This window comes from Homo sapiens, chromosome 21 (genome assembly GCF_000001405.40).
Source record: "Homo sapiens chromosome 21, GRCh38.p14 Primary Assembly".
Lineage (NCBI taxonomy): Eukaryota > Metazoa > Chordata > Mammalia > Primates > Hominidae > Homo > Homo sapiens.
This window is the reverse complement of record NC_000021.9, coordinates 17,418,008-17,437,243: the sequence shown is the minus strand read 5'-3', so window position 1 is coordinate 17,437,243 and position 19,236 is coordinate 17,418,008. Positions and strand designations below refer to the sequence as shown.

General features: G+C 42.2%; 1 pseudogene, besides 1 other annotated feature; it reads right to left on the bottom strand.

Annotated features, from left to right (window-relative positions):
* On the bottom strand, window positions 5,597-5,697 carry RNU6-113P (RNA, U6 small nuclear 113, pseudogene; annotated as a pseudogene).
* Window positions 17,597-18,796: an enhancer, noted in NCBI's record as "P300/CBP strongly-dependent group 1 enhancer chr21:18790767-18791966 (GRCh37/hg19 assembly coordinates)". NCBI's record gives its function as "activates an origin of replication core promoter dependent on BRD2, BRD4, P300/CBP, MED14 and CDK7 cofactors, with strong dependence on P300/CBP, by STARR-seq in HCT116 cells {active_cell/tissue: HCT116}" and the evidence as "EXISTENCE:reporter gene assay evidence [ECO:0000049][PMID:35650434]".

The following is a 19,236-nucleotide window of genomic DNA, read 5'->3' as shown; positions in this document are numbered from 1 at the left end:
CAGATATCTTCATATCCAGACACAAAAGAAAGTTCTTAAGGTTTTACAATGGTATGGCCACTAACACAACCTTTCAAAGAGGAGCAAACGTCCTTATCGCCCCAAGAAATCAAAGTAAACCATGTGAAACCCAAGTGTAGGAAATCCCGCTGCTCAGATAAAGTATCCAGTGTAGCACTGAAACAGCACTATTGCTTTCAGGCAGCCTGGCTTAACCTTGAGTAAAGCCTTTCCTGGGAGTTCAGCTCAGTGAAACAGACATTCTGTCAACTGTATCAGAGACAAGGATTTTAGCTGTAATTATGGTCTGCTAATCTGGTGCAGCTTTAGTTAAACAAACAGAATCAGCACATTATCATTAGGGAGGCAACATAGTTTTCTCTCCCTTCCACAGAGCATTGCTCTAGGAGAGAGACGACTATTGAAAAGTTTGGCTGCTGTTACCAGTTTTACTTCTATCTAATCTTTTAGGAGCTCAGTTTCTCCAAATGAAGAAATGTGTGGCACCCTCCCATCTCAGGATTGCCGAAAAAACACAAAAAAGGCAGTGTTTAAACATGTCGTAACTGGGCACTGAATTGTTCCTGATGAGTCTGTACTGTTCTGTCCTTTCTCTCCCACCATCTCTGGGAAACTGGAATGAAATGGGTCTCACTGCCTACTTTTTTGTCTTTTCTTCCCAGGCCCTTCTCTCCTCTGGTTAACCCGGTCTGAAGACTTGGAGACATCTGTCATATTTTAGATACAGAGGAGTATTCCATCTTAAATGGTTGCTTTCAGAGTACTAATTCTTGGCCTCCCTCCCCTGCCCCAGTAAAGAATATCTTATGGTGGGAAATTCAGTTTGCTGAAAGCTGGATATTAAACATAATTTTGAGATATAGCTCAGCTAATATTTCCTTCGAATTATGCCATGACAGCAAAACTTGCCTCATTTACGAGCCCTTTAATATGAAATTGTCTTCCTCCTTCCCTCCCTTTCTTTCTCTTTTTCTCTTTCCTCTCCTCCCTCTTTCCCTCCCTCCCTCCCTCCCTCCCTCCCTTCCTTCCTTCCTTCCTTCCTTCCAATATTTCTGCATGTCCACCATGTGCTAGGCTATCTCTAGCACAATCTCTCCTCCAGACACTCACTTTAGTGGGAAATGTAAATATAAAAATTGAAAACATATGTTATTTTAAGTGTCAAAAGACAAAATTACAACAAATTTAGTTATAGATCAAAGATGGGCATTTATTTGGGATTTATAAATCAGGGCAGCCTTCATTCCATAAAATGTACTGAAAGCTCTCACGAGCAACTGCTGAACAGTGGGTTTTACAAGGTGGGAACAAGGAAACAGAACAATAGAAAAAAAAAAAGCTTGACTGGTAAACATTAGGTTACTTCAGGTTACTTTTTTATATGAGTTTAAGCAAACGGAAGTGTCCTTATTATAGCTGACTCAGACTGCAATCTCCAGTTTTCAGGAAAAACTGATCTGTTTTGAGATCTATCGACTTCCTTAAAGTTTCATTTTGATGAAGTGGCATTTAGCACAAGTGACTCCATTTTGGTCTGGTCTGGTCCCTTGGGGCCTAGTGCAGAAGCTCAGTCCAAAACAATAGTGTTCCATAATGCTGTTTAACGTAAGAGATGTTTGAAAGAGGTACTTCTGGCCAGGGCTTGGTGGGCCAGAAAATACTTTTTGGTGAGATCTGAATTGAATCTTCAAGGGTTTGTGGGCCTAAAGTGCAGGCGAAGGGATACTGTAGACAGAGGATGGCAGAAGGAGGAATGGAATGAGAAAAAAGATGATTTTCCAGAGACTATGTGTGATGTGACTGAGTAGCAAGGGATGGGCTGAAGAGGCAAGTAGAGTCATTCTATTGTCTTGTGATCTTGCTTTTTATTCTAGAGATAAATGACTTTTTTTCCACATAATTATAGCAGCAGACATTTTTCCCAAATTAAATTTTATATGGCATTCCGGCTGGGTGTGGTGGTTTATGCCTGTAATCCCAGCACTTTGGGAGGCCGAGGTGGGCAGATCACCTGAGGTCAGGAGTTCAAGACCAGCCTGGCCAACATGGTGAAACCCTGTCTCTACTAACAATACAAAAAATTTAGCAGGGTGTGGTGGCATGCACCTGTAATCCCAGCTACTTGGGAGGCTGAGGCACGACAATCACTTGAACCTGGGAGGTGGAGGTTGCAGTGAGTGGAGATTGTGCCATTGAACTCCAGCCTGGGCAACAAGAGTGAAACTCCATCTCAAAAAAAAAAGAAAAAAAAATTTACATGGGATTCCAACATTAAAAGATTTTCTTTTCTTTTCTTTTCTTTTTTTTTTTTTTTTGTGACAAAGTCTCTGTCTGTCGCCCAGGCTGGAGGGCAGTGGCTCCATCTCGGCTCACTGCAAGCTCCGCCTCCCGGGTTCACGCCATTCTCCTGCCTCAGCCTCCCGAGTAGCTGGGACTACAGGTGCCCGTCACCACGCCCAGCTAATTTTTTTTTGTATTTTTAGTAGAGACAGGGTTTCACTGTGTTAGCCAGGATGGTCGCGATCTCCTGACCTCGTGATCCGCCTGCCTCAGCCTCCCAAAGTGCTGGGATTACAGGCGTGAGCCACTGCGCCTGGCCAAAAGATATTCTTTTTAATATAGAAATTAGGTTTAGATTAAAAGGAAATTTAATTAGGATAAATTTATTTTATAAATTAAAGCAATGAACATTATGATGTTTGAATGCAAATTTGATACAGAGATTATGGATGGCAATTGTATCTTATACTAGCCTCAGCATTGCAATTCTTTTACATCTGAGTTTTTTTTCTTGTATAGTGGCAAGATAATTTTTACACAGATACATAGTTGCAAATGGTAACAACTTTAACATGAATTACCTAGAAACTCAGGATACTCTTCCATGGAAAGAGATGGCAGAGAAAGTTTTGTCCTCAGTTCTATACAGAAACGAAATTCCAGTTTGGGTGACTAGGAGGATAATGGTATTGGCAACTAAAACGATTCCTCTCTAAAGAGAGAGAAAATTCCAAGAGAAAAAACATGAATTCGATTTTGGGTATTTTGTGTTTAAGGTGCTTTATTTAGAAATATAGGAAGCTTCCTTATAACCATGGAAATAATTGGTTCACTAAAAACCAAAGATGAAATATTGTTCTTTTAGGATTGTATAACCTCATGTAATCTTTTCCTCTGACCTCCAGCTGTGGCCTACTTTTGATGAAATTTTAATGGTTCATTCCAGAACCTCATCACTCTTGGAAATTCATGCAGCCACTTAGCCTGAAATTCCGAATTCTGCTGTTTCATCATTTCAGATTTCTTGACTCGGCTACAGAGGCATCCAGGACAATGTCATTTTGTGTTTAGCAAAACTGAAATAACTCACAGACTCTTGTGTTCTTTTTGATTACTACACATATCTAAGCTAGGTCATGCTAGCATTCTTCTCTCTCAGTCAAGCTGAATTAAAATGTATTTTAATGAATGGCATGTTATAGAGCAAAATGTTCATGTTGTTTCCCTAGCAGTATAGCACCATGATCATTCATTTATTCATTTACTTAATTATTCATCCGGTAGAAACATGCTATATCCTTCCTTGATGAGGGTAAGTGACTATTAGTTTGCTAGGGCTGCTGTAATAAAGTATCACAGACTGGGTGTCTTTTTTTTTTTTTTTGAGACAGAGTTTTGCTCTTGCCCAGGCTGGAGTGCAATGGCACAATCTTGGCTCACCGCAACCTGCACCTCCCAGGTTCAAGCGATTCTCCTGCCTCAGCCTTCCCAAGTAGCTGGGATTACAGGCATGCGCCACCAAGTCCGGCTAATTTTGTATTTTTAGTAGAGATGGGGTTTCTCCATGTGGGTCAGGCTGGTCTCAAACTCCTGACCTCAGGTGATCCGCCTACCTCGGCCTCCCAAAGTGCTGGGATTAGAGGCGTGAGCCACCGCGCCCGGCAAGACTGGGTGTCTTAAATAACAGAAATGTATTCCTCGCAGTTCTGGAGGCTGAAGGTCCAAGATTGAAGTCCCGGCAGGTTGGTTTCTTCTGAGGCCTCTTTCCTTGGCTCGCTTGCTGCCTCTTCACATGGTCTTTTCTCTATGCAGGCATACTGGGGTCTCTCAGTGTGTGCAAATTTCCTTTTCTTATAAGGACACCAGTCAGACTGAATTAGGGCCCACCTTAATGGCCTCATTTTAACTTAATTACCTCTTTCATGACCTTACCTCCAATGACAGTCACATTTTAAGGTACTTGGAGTTAGGGCTTCAACATATGAATTTGGGGCGGGGGATGGGGGATGGGGGAAAGGAGGCACAATTTAGCTCATAACAACGGTTAAATATTTTGCTTTGGTTCTTACAAAAAAGGCAATTCTAACCTCAGTAGATTTAAGCTTTCTTCATAGCATCATGACGTCTTCCATTTTCATTTTTATTTCCCTCCCTCCCTCCCTTCCTCCCTCCCTTCCTTCCTTCCTTCCTTCCTTCCTCCCTTCCTTCCTTCTTCTATGGGATCTCGCTCTGTAACCCAGGCTGGAGCGAGGTAGTACAATTGTAGCTCACTGCAGCCTCGAACTTCCGAGCTCAAGCAATCTTCTGCCTCAGCCTCCCGTGTAGCTGGGACTACAGGCCTGTGCCACCATGCCCAGCTAATATTCTTTCTTTCTTTCTTTCTTTCTTTCTTTCTTTCTTTCTTTCTTTCTTTCTTTCTTTCTTTCTTTCTTTTCTTTCTTTCTTTCTTTTTCTTTCTTTCTTCTTTCTTTCTTTCTTTCTTCTTTCTTTCCTTCTTCTTTCTTTCCTTCCTTCCTTCCTTCCTTCCTTCCTTCCTTCCTTCCTTCCTTCCTTCCTTCCTTCTTTCTTTCTTTCTTTCGTTCTTTCTTTCTTTCTTTTCTTTCTTCTTCTTTCTTTTTTGTGGAGACGGGGGTCTTGCCATCTTACCCAGGCTGGTCAAAAACTCCTGGGCTCAAGCGATACTCCTGCCTTGACCCCAAAGCACTGGGATTATCGGTGTAGGCCACCTGCAGCTGGCCTCATTTGCATGTTGATGGAACTCAGAATTAACCTTTCCCTCCCCTGTTGGATAAAGGAAGGTAAATCTTTTCAGTGAGGAGTCATCAATAATGCAATATTTTTCAGCCTTTTTACTACCCCAACACATAGGAGGCAAGTCACGCACCCACAATAAATGAAGGGCTCACTTAAGAGCCTGAGCTGTGGATTCCCACAGATTTGAATGCAAACCTTCCCTTTACACCTTACTCCAAAGCTGTGTAACTTTGTCCAATATCTTATCCTCTGCAAAAATACAGTCCACGCTACTTTATTTTATTTTTAAAATTTTTTGAGTAAATATAAGTGTACATATTTATGGGGTTCATGAGATGTTTTGATACAGGCATGCAGTGTGTAATAATCACATCATGGAATACGGGGCCTCCATTCCCTCCAGCATTTATCCTTTGTGTTACAAACAGACTAATTATACTCTTTTAGTGATTTTTTAAGTGTACAATTAAATTATTATTTACTATATTCACCCTGCTGTGCTATCAAACACTGGATCTTATTCATTCTTTCTAACTATGTTAAAAGTATGGAACACATCACAAATTTGTGTGTCATCCTTGCACAGGAGCCACGCTAATCTCTGCACTGTTCCAATTTCCATATATGTGTGCCATGCTACATTAGTAGAGAGATCCCTACAATACTGTGGCTTAAGAAGAGAGATGTTAAAATTAGCTGGGCGTGGTGGCAGGCGCCTGTAATCCCAGCTGCTTAGGAGGCTGAGGGCAGAGAAATTGCTTGAACCGGGAGGCGGAGGTTGCAGTGAGCCAAGATCCTGCCACTGCACTCCAGCCTGGGTGACAGAACGAGACTCCGTCTCCCAAAAAAAAAAAAAAAAAAAAAAAAAGGAAGAGAGACATTTGTTTTTCTCTCCTGAAATAGTCCTCAGTGAAGCAGAACAGGGTAGGGTAGGATGGACAGCTCAGCCCATCCTCAAAATATGGCTTCTATCTCTGGATCTGTGAGGGCTGTTCTAGCTCCTGCCATTACATCTACATCCCAGACAGCAGGAATGGTCAAAGGAACAAGAAAATACACCCTTATTTCTTTTAAAGGCAAAGCTTGTTAAATAAAAGCACTTATATCCTATTGGCAAAAAGTTACATGGTCTTATCTGGTTGCAAAGATGCTGGGATAATATAATCTATAACTCAATGGTCCTGGGCACAGCTAAAACCTGGGGGTTTCAATATTTTTAAATTTTATTTTATTTTATTTTGAGATGGAGTTTCACTCTGTTGCCCAGCCTGGAGTGCAGTGGCGCAATCTCCGCTCACTGCAACCTCCACCTCCTGGGTTAAAGCGATTCTCCTGCCTCGGCCTCCTGAGTAGCTGGGATTACAGGAGCCCACCACCACACCCAGCTAATTTTTGTATTTTTAGTAGAGACGGGGTTTCACCATGTTGGCCAGACTGGTCTCGAACTCCTGACCTCAGGTGATCTGCCTGCCTTGGCCTCCCAAAGTGCTAGGATTACAAGAGCGAGCCACCACGCCTGGCTGGGGGTTTCATTATTAAAGAAGGAGGAGACTGACTAATATTGTTGTATGTCTTAGCTTGGGTTCTTGCAAAGTAGAGTCTAAGGCAAGGGACTTGGATGCAGGTAGTCTATCTGCATTTACCTATTGACTGATGATATTGATCCCAGGAAGCAGAAGTGAGGTGTGAGAAGAGAGAGACAAGGAAGTGAGAAAGCCTATAAAGTGTGTGCTACTCAGTTGGAAACCATTATGGAAAAATAAGGCCCACTTACACTCGGGATCAGCTGTGGAACTTCATAGACTGTGCTTCAGCATTGTTCCACTGAAGGACAAGGAGGCTGGGGCATTAATCTGCTGACTTCCATCCACTGTTACTTACTAACTCTCCTGCACTTCCAGGCTGTGGCCTGCTTGGGTGTCCCCAAGGGACACCACAGCACCCACTGAAGGTGGGGCACTTGCAGCATGCATGCCGCTGTTCACATTAGTGCCACTAATGTCAGGTGGGCCCAAGGGATGGGGCACAGGGCATCTTAGGCAGGTGCTTCTGGGTAGAACTAACCCTTTCATTTTCCATCCACACCCTGCAGTGAGCATAATGGAGCGTGTGTCCCAGAGTTGGGTGGGGACTGGGAGAATGTTTTTAAAGCACCTGAAGCAGATACTGGCATGTAGTACGTGCCCAGTAATGTTAGTTCTCTTTCCTTCCACTTCCCCTTTGTCACCTTAACACACCACCTTAACATCTTAACAATTAAATTTATCCTATTAACATAAAACATCCTCATTAAGTTCTTCAGCCTTTCTACAGATTTAATAACTTAAGCTTTCATACTAGGGGAAAATATCTGCACATCATAGTTTTTAATTTTTTTTTTTTTGAGACGGAGTCTCCCTCTGTCGCCCAGGCTGGAGGCAGCGGCGTGATCTCTGCTCACTGCAACCACCACCTCTCAGATTCAAGTGATTCTCCTGCCTCAGCCTCCCGAGTGGCTGGGACTACAGGCACGTGCCACCACGCCCAGCTAATTTTTTATATTTTTATTAGAGACAGGGTATTCACCATGTTAGCCAGGATGGTCTTGTTTCTTGACCTCGTGATCTGCCCACCTTGGCCTCCCAAAGTGCTGGGATTACAGGCGTGAGCCACCACGGCCCAGCCAATTTTTAAATTTAATATGAAATATTTATTTCAGATTTTGTGGCCAACTAATGGCTGCACTAGACAGATGCAAAGGTAAAGTGTGTAATAGGATTACCTGAATGAAAGTCTGTATCCATAATGAGAAGACAATCTTATATGCTCTTTAATGCCTCTATTATACCCATAACTGAGAAATTTAACAATTAAAAACAATGTGCCAGGGCTTCACGAAGTCTCTGTAGGTGCATAGGCGCCGGCATAAGAGGTGGCTGCCAAGTCACATTCATTCATAAATTCTCCAAGCGTGCCTATATGAGAACAACACTGTTCTAGAGGTTGTGATTAAGATACGGTCCCTGCAAATGTCAATTTGATAGTCTGTAGGAATGGGGGAATGATTAACCACAGGAGGATAACTACAGGTGCTATAAGTCCTTATGTCACTGAAAGGTTTGGATAGAAGTGGACAGTTGGGCTCAGGTGGAGAATGAAAGAAAGAATTGAGTGATATGTAATGATTGTGTTTATCAGCTAAACAAAATGTTCACAGAGTCTTCAAGTATCTTCTTACAGGTGAATTATTTTAAATTTTATTTTAAAGCGTCATCATACATACAGCCAAGCATGGTGGCTCACACCTGTAATCCCAGCACTTTGGGAGGTTGAGGTGGGCAGATTACTTGAGTCCAGGAGTTCAAGACCAGCTTGGGCAATATGGTGAAACCATGTCTCTACAAAAAAATACAGAAATTATCCAGGCATGGTGGTACGGGCCCGTGATCTCAGCTACTCAGGAGGCTGAGGTCGGGGGTATTGCTTGAGCCAGGGAGGCAGAGGTTGCAATGAACTATGATCATGCCACCACACTTCACTGCACTCCACTGCACTCCACTGCACTCCACTGCACTCCAGCTGGGGCAACAGAGTGATATTCCGTCTTAAAAAAAGAAAAAGAAAAAGAAAAAGAAAAATCATCAAACTGTAAAATTAACTTATCAGCCAGGTGCGGTGGTTTACACCTGTAATCCCAGCACTTTGGGAGGCTGAGGCAGGCAGATCGCCTGAGGTCAGGAGTTCAGAACAGCCTGGCCAACATGGCGAAACCCTGTCTGTACTAGAAATACAAAAATTAGCCAGGTATCGTGGGCCTGTGGTCCCAGCTACTCAGGAGGCTTAGGTTGGGGGTGGATTGCTTGAGCCAGGGAGGCAGAGGTTGCAGTAAACTGTGATCGCACCAATACGCTTCGTTGCGCTCCACTGCACTCCACTGCACTCCACTGCACTCCGGCCTGGGCAACAGAGTGAGAATCTGTCTCAGGAAAAAAAAAGAAAAAAAAAGAAAAATCACTGAACTATAAAATTGACTTATTTTTTGGTGTATCATTTTATGAATTTTTTTTCCACACCTGGGATTACAGGCATGAGTCACTACACCTGGCCTTGTTTTATGAATTTTAACACAAGTATAGATTTATGTAACCACCACCACATTCAGCGTACAGGACAGTTCTATTACCTTACGACTCTTTCATGCTATGTCTTTACAGTCATACCTCCTCTAACTCCTGGCAACCACTGATCTCTTCTCTGTCACTATAGTTTTGTCTTTACAAGAAGAATGTCACATAAATGGAATCATACAGTATATCTTTTGAGGCTGGCTTAATTTTTTTGAGATGGAGTCTTGCTCTGTCTCCGGGCTGGAGGCTGGAGTGCAGTGGCTTGATCTCGGCTCACAGCAACGTCCGTCTCCCGAGTTCAAGCGATTCTCCTGCCTCAGCCTCCCATGTGTCTGAGATTATAGGCGCCCGCCACCACACCCAGCTAATTTTTTAATTTTAGTAGAGAACAGGTTTCACCATGTTAACCAGGCTGATCTTGAACTCCTGACCTCAGGTGATCCACCTGCCTCAGCCTCCCAAAGTGCTGGGATTACAGGCATGAGCCACTATGCCTGGCCAGTTTGTTCTTTTTTATTGTTCAGTGTATTCCAGTGTATGAAGGCATTGCTTTGTTTATTCATTCATCCACTGAAAGACGTTTGAATTTATTTCAGTTTCTGGCAATTATGAACAGAGCTGCTATAAAAGCAGACTACTAATTAGTCACAAAGGAAGAAAGAGATACTTTCACTGTGAAGAAGTGATTAAGCTTAACATCAGTAATAATGTGACAAACGGACGTCAGGGGAGCCTCCAGATGCGATGCACTGAGAAGGGCACATTATTCCTGTACTCTTCCTTCCAAAATGCATGGTCTGTATTTCAGCATAAGGAAATAATCAGACAAACCCAAGGCGAGAGCTGTTCTACAAAACTACTGACCACTACCCTCCAAATATGACAATGCCGCGAAAGACAGAAAGAGCAGTGAAGTGTTTCAGAGTGAAAAAGGCTAAAGACATGGCAACCGAATGCAATGTGTGACTCTAGATGGCAAAAACTTGGCTAGAAAGAATATTATTGAGAAAACAATATCAGAAAAGTAGTGTTGTATCAATGTTAAAACTTCCTGATTTTGATCACTGTATTGTGGTTATGTAAGAATATTCAAGAGAATGTCTTTGTTTTTAGATTCTTGCTGGGGTAAACAAGGATATCTGTTATTTATTTATTTATTTATTTATTTATTTATTGAGATGGAGTCTCACTCTGTCACCCAGGCTGAAGTGTAATAGTGTGATCTTGGCTCGCTGCAACCTCCGCCTCCTGGGTTCAAGCAATTCTCTCCTGCCTCAGCCTCCCAAGGAGCTGGGATTACAGGCACCCACCACCACGCCTGGCTAATTTTTGTATTTTTAGTGGAGATGAGATTTCACCAGGTTGGCCAGGCTGGTCTCGAACTCTTGACCTCAAGTAATCCACCTGCCTCAGCCTCCCAAAGTGCTGGGTTTACAGGCTTGAGCCACCATGCCTGACTAGATACCTGTAATTTATTTTCAAATGATTCAGAAAGGGAGAGAGAGGGGAAGAGAGATTGAGAACTTTGAAAAAATTAACAACTAACAAATTTCATATAGGTGTATAAATTAATTCTTGTAACTTTCTGTAGGCTTATGACTTTTCAAAACAAAAAGTTGAGGAAAAAGCAATTTTATAAAAAGAAGAGTCAGCCAGGCATGGTGGCCCACATCTGTAATCCTAACACTTTGAGAGGCTGAGGTGGGAGGATCACCTGAGCCCAGGAGTTCGAGATCAGCTGTTCCACAGTATGCTCACAAGGAAACCCCTACAAAACCTTTAACTCCTTAGATGATGTTTGGTTGGACTTTGTTGGGAAAAAAGTCATATATAGAGGCTAGTTTCAAATTTATCTTTTCATATTTTATGCTTCCTCTTATTATTTCTCCCAGCATCTATGTGTGATGATGTGTGGAAGAGGAGATGGACAAGACTAAAGGAAATTATCCAGGTCCCCACTGACAGTGCTAAGTGACACGTGGGCCATGGCAGAATGTGGAGAAACAGCTGGGAACAGAGAACTCCACAACAAACCTGCAATGGGTCTTTTCCTAAATATATTAGTGATAGGTGGCCCTAAAAGTGGAGAGAAACACTGGCTCAGGTAAGTCAAATTAAAAAAAAAAAACTGGTTTGGTGGTTTGGTACCTCTCAGAGGTAAGGAAATGATAGTATAGAAACTTGGTAAGTTTAAACCAGATATAATGGGCAGGTGTATAGGTTCTGAACTTCTAAAATTGAATGCTTCTGTAATGTTTGGGGAAGCTTGGAGAGCCTATAGGCAGAGGATCAGTTTTGAGGTGATTGCTGTGATCTAGGTATGAAATGGTGAAAGCTGGCCTTGGGTGATGTATCAGTCTGTTCTTGCATTGGTATAAAGGAATATCTGATGGCCGGGCGTGGTGGCTCACACCTGTAATCCCAGCACTTTGGGAGGCTGAGGTGGGCGGATCACCCCAAATCAGAAGTTCGAGACCAGCCTGGCCAAAAAGGTGAAACCACGTCTCTATTAAAAATACAAAAATTAGCCGGGTGTGGTGGCACATGCCTGTAATCCCAGGTACACGGGAGACTGAAGCAGGAGAATTGCTTGCACCCGGGAGACAGAGGTTGCAGTGAGCCGAGATCGCGCCACTGCACTCCAGCCTGGGTGACAGAGCAAGATCTGTCTCAAAAAACAAAAACAAAAACAAAAACAAACAAACAACAAAAAAGAAATATCTGAGACTGGGAAATTTGTAAAGAAAAGAGGTTTAATTGGTTCACGGTTCTGCAGGCTGTACAGGAAACACGATGGGGGCATCTGCTCAGCTTCTGGGGAGGCCTCAGGAAGCTTACAATCAGGGCAGAAGGTGAAAGGGAAGCAGGCACATCACATGGCCAGAGCAGGAGCAAGAAAGTGAGTGGGGGTGGGGGGAGGGGAGCGGCGCTACACACTTTTAAACAACCAGATCGCAGGAGAAGTCTCTCATGATCACGAGAACAGCGCCAAGGGGATGGTGCGACACCATTTATGAGAAATCCACCCCCGTAATCTAATCGCCTCTCACCAGGCTCCACCTCCAACATCAGAGATTAAAATTTGACATGAGATTTGGGCAAAGACTCAGATCCAAACCATAACAAGTGGGGTTAGTATGGAGGAAGCAAGAGGGAAGGCGTCAAAGAGATAAGAAAGCCATGGGAGAGAAAGGAAAGCAAGGCGCCCAAGAAGGTAAAAGAAGAAAGTAGAATGAGTAGGGGGTAGAAAAGAAATGAAGATGGGTGTGAAGGATAGTGGACAACATTTGTCTCCACAACACTCACTTGAAAATGTGAAAAATTAAAAGGTAAAATATTCAAGTGATGGGATAAAAGTGTTAAGGTGAGGAAAATAACATAAAATTCTTGTGATATAAAATTTTAATCAGAAAATATCCTTGGATTAGCACAGGAAATAAGGTGAATACGGTGACAAGTCAGGTTGTCACAAAGTGTTGTCAAGATAGAATGTCAGGAAGGTACCGAAGTCAAATTTTGACTTTTTGCACAAGGTAGGCCTTAGAATTGGATTGTTATCCTTTCAACTTCTTCTTTAGAGTCTCCTTACTTGAACAACACTCTTTACTTCGGAGTAAGTGTAGGATTTAAATACAGAAATTTATACATAGCGTTTTAATCTAACTTAGCCAAATCTAATTTTTTCCTGAAAATACAATGGGCAGAATATATTTATGCTTGTATTTGGTTTTAAAAGCGCCAAAAGAGAAAGACTATCATTATTAAAAGAAAAAAATAAGTCTCTTTTTTCTTACTAAAGAAATGAACGTCTTAATTAATTTTAAAATTCTGTAACAACACATTTTAGGTTTAAGCCACAAATGACAAATTGCTTCTCTATACTACTTAAAAAAAACCTTAAAAAATACTTTCAAAGTTACAGATGAGCTGCAAGAAATGTACACATATCTTTTAAATATGTATCCTTTATCCAGATTCATAAATTAACAATTTGACACATTTGCCTTACTACTCTTTCTACTTATAATGCATATTATTGTTAATTTTTCCCTGAACCATGTAAGAGTTAATTGCAGATATCATTTTCCTTTATTTCTAAATACTTCAATGTGAATTTCATAATAAAAGGGACACTTCCTTACATAACCACAGTCCAATAATCCTATTAAGAAGTTTAATATTATTACCTAATATACTGTCAATATTCAAATTTGGCAATTGTCCAATATGTCCTTTTAGTATCTCTTCCTCCCCACGATATCCAGTCCAGGGTCACACATTGCATTTACCTGTCATGTCTTTTTTAGTTTCTGTATTAGTTATCTGTTACTGCATAAAAATTACTCAAGTCTGGGCATGGTGGCTCACGCCTGTAATCCTAGCAATTTGGGAGGCTGAGGAGGGCAGACCACTTGAGGTGTGGAGTTCAAGACCAGCCTGGCCAACATGATGAAACCCTGTCTCTAGTAAAAAAAAAAAAAAAAAAGAAGAAAGAAATACAAAAATTAGCTGGGCATGGTAGTGCATGCCTATAAGCCCAGCTACTCAGGAGGCTGAGGCAGGAGAATCGCTTGAACCCAGGAGATGGAGGTTGCAGTGAGCTGAGATCGTGCCACTGCACTCCAGCCTGGGCAATAGAGCAAGACTCCATCTCAAAAAAAAAAAAAAGACTCCAAAACTCAAGTTTAAAATAACTCACAGTTTCCCCTGGATAGAAATCCAGCTGCAGCTTACCTGGATGCCTCTACCTAAGGATCTTGCAGTCAAGGAGATCCAGCAGGAGTCACTATGATCCAAGAGCCTGACTGAGGAAGGATCCACTTCCCAGATCGTTCATGTGATTTTGGGCAGCATTCACTTGCTCATGGGTTGTTGGACTGAGGGCCTCAGTTTTTTACTGGCTGTTGGCTGGAGGCCTCCCTCACTTCCTTACCATATGGACCTCTCCATATGGACCAACTCTTGTTGTGAGCTGCAGGCTCATGGCAGCTGGGTTTCATCAAAGCAAGCGAGAGTAAGAGACTCAGCAAGACAGAATTTAAAAGCCAAATAAAGAAGTAGGTTTTTAAAATTTATAGCTTTAATAGATTGAATTAATTTTAGTAAGTAACTATTGAAATCATTTTTCTATGTACAAAATTCACTCCTAGGCTCAGCATGGTGGCTCATGCCTATAATCCCAGCACTTTGGGAGGGCAAGGCAGGAGGATCGCTTGAGCCCAGGAGTTCAAAACCACCCTGGGCAGCATAGTGAGACCTCACCTCTACCAAAAAAAAAAAATCAGTTGAGCATGGTGGTGCTTGCCTGTGGTCCCAGCTACTCAAGAGGCTGAGGTAGGAGTATCATCTGAGCCTGGAAGGTCAAGGCTGCAGTGAGCTGTGATCATACCACTGCACTCCAGCCTGGGTAACAGAGTGAGACCCTGTCACAAAAAAAAAACAACAAACAACAAACAAACAAATAAAATTCACTTTTGAGGACACCAAAAATCTCAGACCAACACAGACTAAGAGTTTTAGCAGGCTAGATGCCAAGTACATACACTCTTTCTATGGAAGAGAAAACTGGGTTTAATGACTCGTGTAAGATTTTAGAGCTCTTCTGTCATTATCTGCATTCTCCTTAGAAACTCATCCTTAAACATGACACTGTTTTTAGAAATATCAATAAGCAAATTTCTTGTCTCCAAAGTTGGACATTTTCTGCCGCATGCTTATATTTTCTCCACAGAAGAATTATTCAAACTCTCCCTACTGGATATATAGACATCCTTGTGCTTGCCAGCAGTGATACCATGCACTTCTGCTAGGTAATGGGTGCATGAGTCCCTTTACATTTTTCTTTTTTTTTTTGAAACAGAGTCTCACTCTGTTTCCCAGGTTGGAGTGCAGTGGCATGATCTCAGCTCACTGCAAACTCTGCCTTCCAGGTTCTAGTGATTCTCCTGCCTGGCATGCGCCACCATGCCCAGCTAATTTTTGTATTTTTAGTAGAGACGGGATTTCGTCGTGTTGGCCAGACTGGTCTGGAACTCCTGACCTCAGGTGATCCGCCCACCTCAGCCTCCCAAAGGGTTGGGATTACAGGTGTGAGCCACCACGCCCGGCCCATGAGTCCCTTTTCTAGAAGGCTGGGAGGTTCCCTGACTCTGTCTTTGTTCTTTGGGGACTTTCTGCATTTGCCTGTATTCTCCTCTATATTTTCGTCTCCTGGTCTCTCCCAGCTGTGTTGTTTGCTTTTGGAAATTCTAGTCATCCACTTGCCACCTATCATATGAGTGGGAAGCTATAATAATAATATAATAATAGCTTTCTATTATTCCTTGTCTTTACTCAGAAGTTATTCTTTGAGAGAGGACAGTGGAGGCTTCTCTTGAACAATGCAGGACTGTGAAGAATAAAACATTAATTTAAAAAATCAATAGACATTGTGCTGGTTCAGAGTTTCCCAAACTCTTTTGGTTTATGGTGCCATTTGTGTTTTAATTTTTTTCACAACATTCCTGGGCCAAAAAACAAAAACAAAAACACTCCCCCTTCACTCCTTGCCAAAACAACCCTAGCAGTTACGTGTATTAAGTTAGTAGGTTCAAACACCTTTAAATATTTATGTTTTAACAACCAAGTAGCTATTTGGAAAGCAAACATATAAATATAAAGAACAAGTAATACTTAGTTTCATTCTTGAATGAACACAGTTACTAATGGGACGTGTGTGCCTGTGGGGCACTGCCAACCGGACAAGTTTGGAATCAGAATGAACATGTCACTCTCATTTCCTATTCCACATTGCTTTTTCATATGGCACTTTCTAAAAACTTGTAGTGACTGCTGAACACCCAGCCTTGCAAAGAAAGGGCTGGCTTTGAAGGGAATGTAGGCTGATCTAATGAAACTGCGAACCACCTCGAGGTAGAGACTGAGTGGTGTCTGGTAGATGCCACTGTGCTGTCCTCAAAAATTTATTTTTTTAAATTTTATTTTATTATTACTTTTTTGAGATAGGGTCTCACTCTGTTGCCCAGGCTGGAATGCAGTGGTGCAGTTTCAGCTCACTGCAACCTCCACCTACCCAGGTTCAAGCGATTCTTCTGCCTCAGGCTCCTGAGCAGCTGGGATTACAGGCCGTGCCACCACACCCAGCTAATTTTTGTATTTTTAGTAGCGATGGGGTTTCACCGTGTTGGCCAAGCTGGTCTCGATCTCTTGACCTCAAGTGATGTGCCTGCTTCGACCTCCCAAAGTGCTGGGATTACAGGCTTGAGCCACCGCACCCAGCCTGTCCTTGAAAATTTAAAATATGCTGCTGGGTCTTCTGAGTTCTCTGTGGCACCTGGTGGGGGTCGGGGTACCTCAGAGCACGGCTTGGAAACTGCCGTGCTAGATGAAGGAAAGTGAAAAGACATATTTCCTGTAAGGGCCCTAGCTATAGTGCAACACACAGATGAGTTGTCTACTGGCTATGCCATAAGGCAGATGACAGCAGTCAAAACATAATAGACTTCCCCTACCGTTTGTCTGTTATCTGAATTCCTTTCTTACATTTGGAATATCTATACTATTGGTCTTGCTGGGAGGCAGAGTTCATCTTCCACTGTAAAATCTGAATAGACTTGAAACTTACCTCTCAACCTCCCCTGAAGCTGGGGCCTGAACCCATGACTTAGGTGTGACAATCAGACCCATGAGTCTCAGACCTGGAGACAGAAACCAAGGGTCAAAAGCAGTGGGGACATCTTTCTGGCTGTGGGGTGTTGGGCTGCATGCTGGCAACCAAGACAGTGGTAGGGCCAGGGTCAATGCTGGCAGTATGGATGGTCTCCACAGTGGCTCTGTGATGCAGTGGTATCCTCACTGGATTTGTTCTGTGGCTTGGTTTTGGCTGTGGTTTTGGTGGCGTAGCCTCCTCTTTTTAATGCCTATTCTGAATGTAGTTCTCTAGTCTTCCTGAAGATGTGGACAACCAAGTGTACCTCCAATAAATTCCTTTTTCTGTTTAATTTGACCTAACTTCTTTCAAAGATGGGGAAATAATAAGAAATATTCCTGGAAGATCTCCAATAACAGAAGAGAGGCAAGATTATAGATGTAATATTACACTGACTTTACTAGATGAAACAAGGAACTTGGCGAGTTTTGAGATGTGCCTCTGAAAGCTCCAGATAGCAAATAATAATCAGTGGGGAACCAGCCTCAAAGGCTGAAAAAGCTATATACAAGGAGGGTTTAGATAATATGGACAGACTTGAGACAGGAGAAGGCTTGGAAATTTAGCACAGAATCCATTAGCCCCTATTACGTGATTCTCAAAATGATACATTTGTGGTAAGTAGGAAAGTTTCTAAAGTATTTGTTATTAGGGATAATGCTTAGAAAGTTTGCAGACCCCCGGAAAAGGTAGGATAATACGCACTAAAGAGGAGCTAGCCAGGACAAAAATAAATAGAAATCAGGTTTGAGATGAACGGTAGGCTGATGAGAGGATTAAACGTAGGTGGAATTATCCAAATAGAGGAAATAAGAATGGACAAAGGTTGTTCGGAGCACAGATGCTTTTGGCAGACATTTGTTTCTCATTGGCAGATGCTCCATAAGGCCAAATATAGAAGAATGTGCTAGGAAATGAAATAACTGGATCAGAAAGCAAAAGGAAAAGAATGTAGTTTACCTGCACCAACTTAGACATGTGAAATATTTGAAACTCAGGTGCACCTGCCCGAAAAGAGGAGAAGGACAATATCAGGAAATGAAATCCTAGAAGCATACCCATGGCTGAAGAGAACATTCTGGCAGAAAGAATTGTTCTGCTGTTTTGAAGTAACACAAATCCCTCAAGATGAAGAACTAGATTTGGAGGTGGACCAGCAGAAGGTATCTGTCTTCTCTTGCTTCAGTAGACTAGAAGAGGACGTACATTTTTAGCCTACACACTCTTTGTGAAATAAACTGCATCCCCAATTTTGAAATTGACAGATTGTTTGGCTTCAATGACATGACACAACTTCAGGTGTGACTCATTTCCTCCCTTGATAAGTGAAATTATGATGTCACGTACACATGCCATTGTTAGGTACACATAGGCTTGTGGGACTTCCATGCTCTTAGGAAATATATGCGGTGGGAGTATTTGGCCCAAAAGCCTCTCAGCTATTAGGCAACATTATAATTTATATTACCTATTCAAAAATAATCACTGGTTCTAGCAGTGTTCAGAAAAACACATGAATATTCTTAATATGAAATTTCATTTTTAGTTCTCAAAGCTTGGTTTAAAAACAATTACCTAAGCTGTTTTAATTATGCTTTAGGGTTCTATCCTATCCACCCATCTTGTTAACCTGCAGGCTGAACATAACCTCTCCTGTGTATTTTTTTTTAATCAAATTCTTGTACATCAACTCTTCCTATCACGGGAAGAAGGGAGGTTCATTCAGATATGAAAATGCTTACCTCGTTACAACACTAGGAGAATAAAATGTTTTTATGCTGTTGAAATTATTTGTTTTGGCTGGGCGTGGTGGCTCACGCCTGTAATCCCAGCACTTTGGGAGGCCAAGGCGGGTGGATCACAAGGTCACGAGTTCGAGACCAGCCTGGCCAATATGGTGAAACCCCATCTCTACTAAAAATACAAAAATTAGCAAGGTATGGTGGCACATGCTTGTAGTCCCAGCTGCTTGGGAGGCTGAGGCAGGAGAATCGCTTGCACTGGGAGGCGGAGGTTGCAGTGAGCCGAGATTGCGCCACTGCACTCCAGCCTGGGTAACAGAGCAAGAGTCCGTCTCAAAAAAAAAAAAAAAAAAAAAAAAGCAAACAAAAAAATCACAAAGAAATTATTTGTTTTGAGTTTGGGTCAAGATTTAATTATTGGATTCATTTTCCTTCTATAATGGTCAGTGACAGAGAAGGAACCAGAAGGTTGGGAAAAAGCCCCTGGAGATTAGAGGAAGTGAGCCAATAGCAGATGTGTACTGATGCCATGGGTCTGCCAGTGCACTTGGGTCTTCTTCTGCATACTTGGCACAAAAATTTAAAAGAATCGTCATTATTGTTTTAACAAGTGGATGTGAATGGA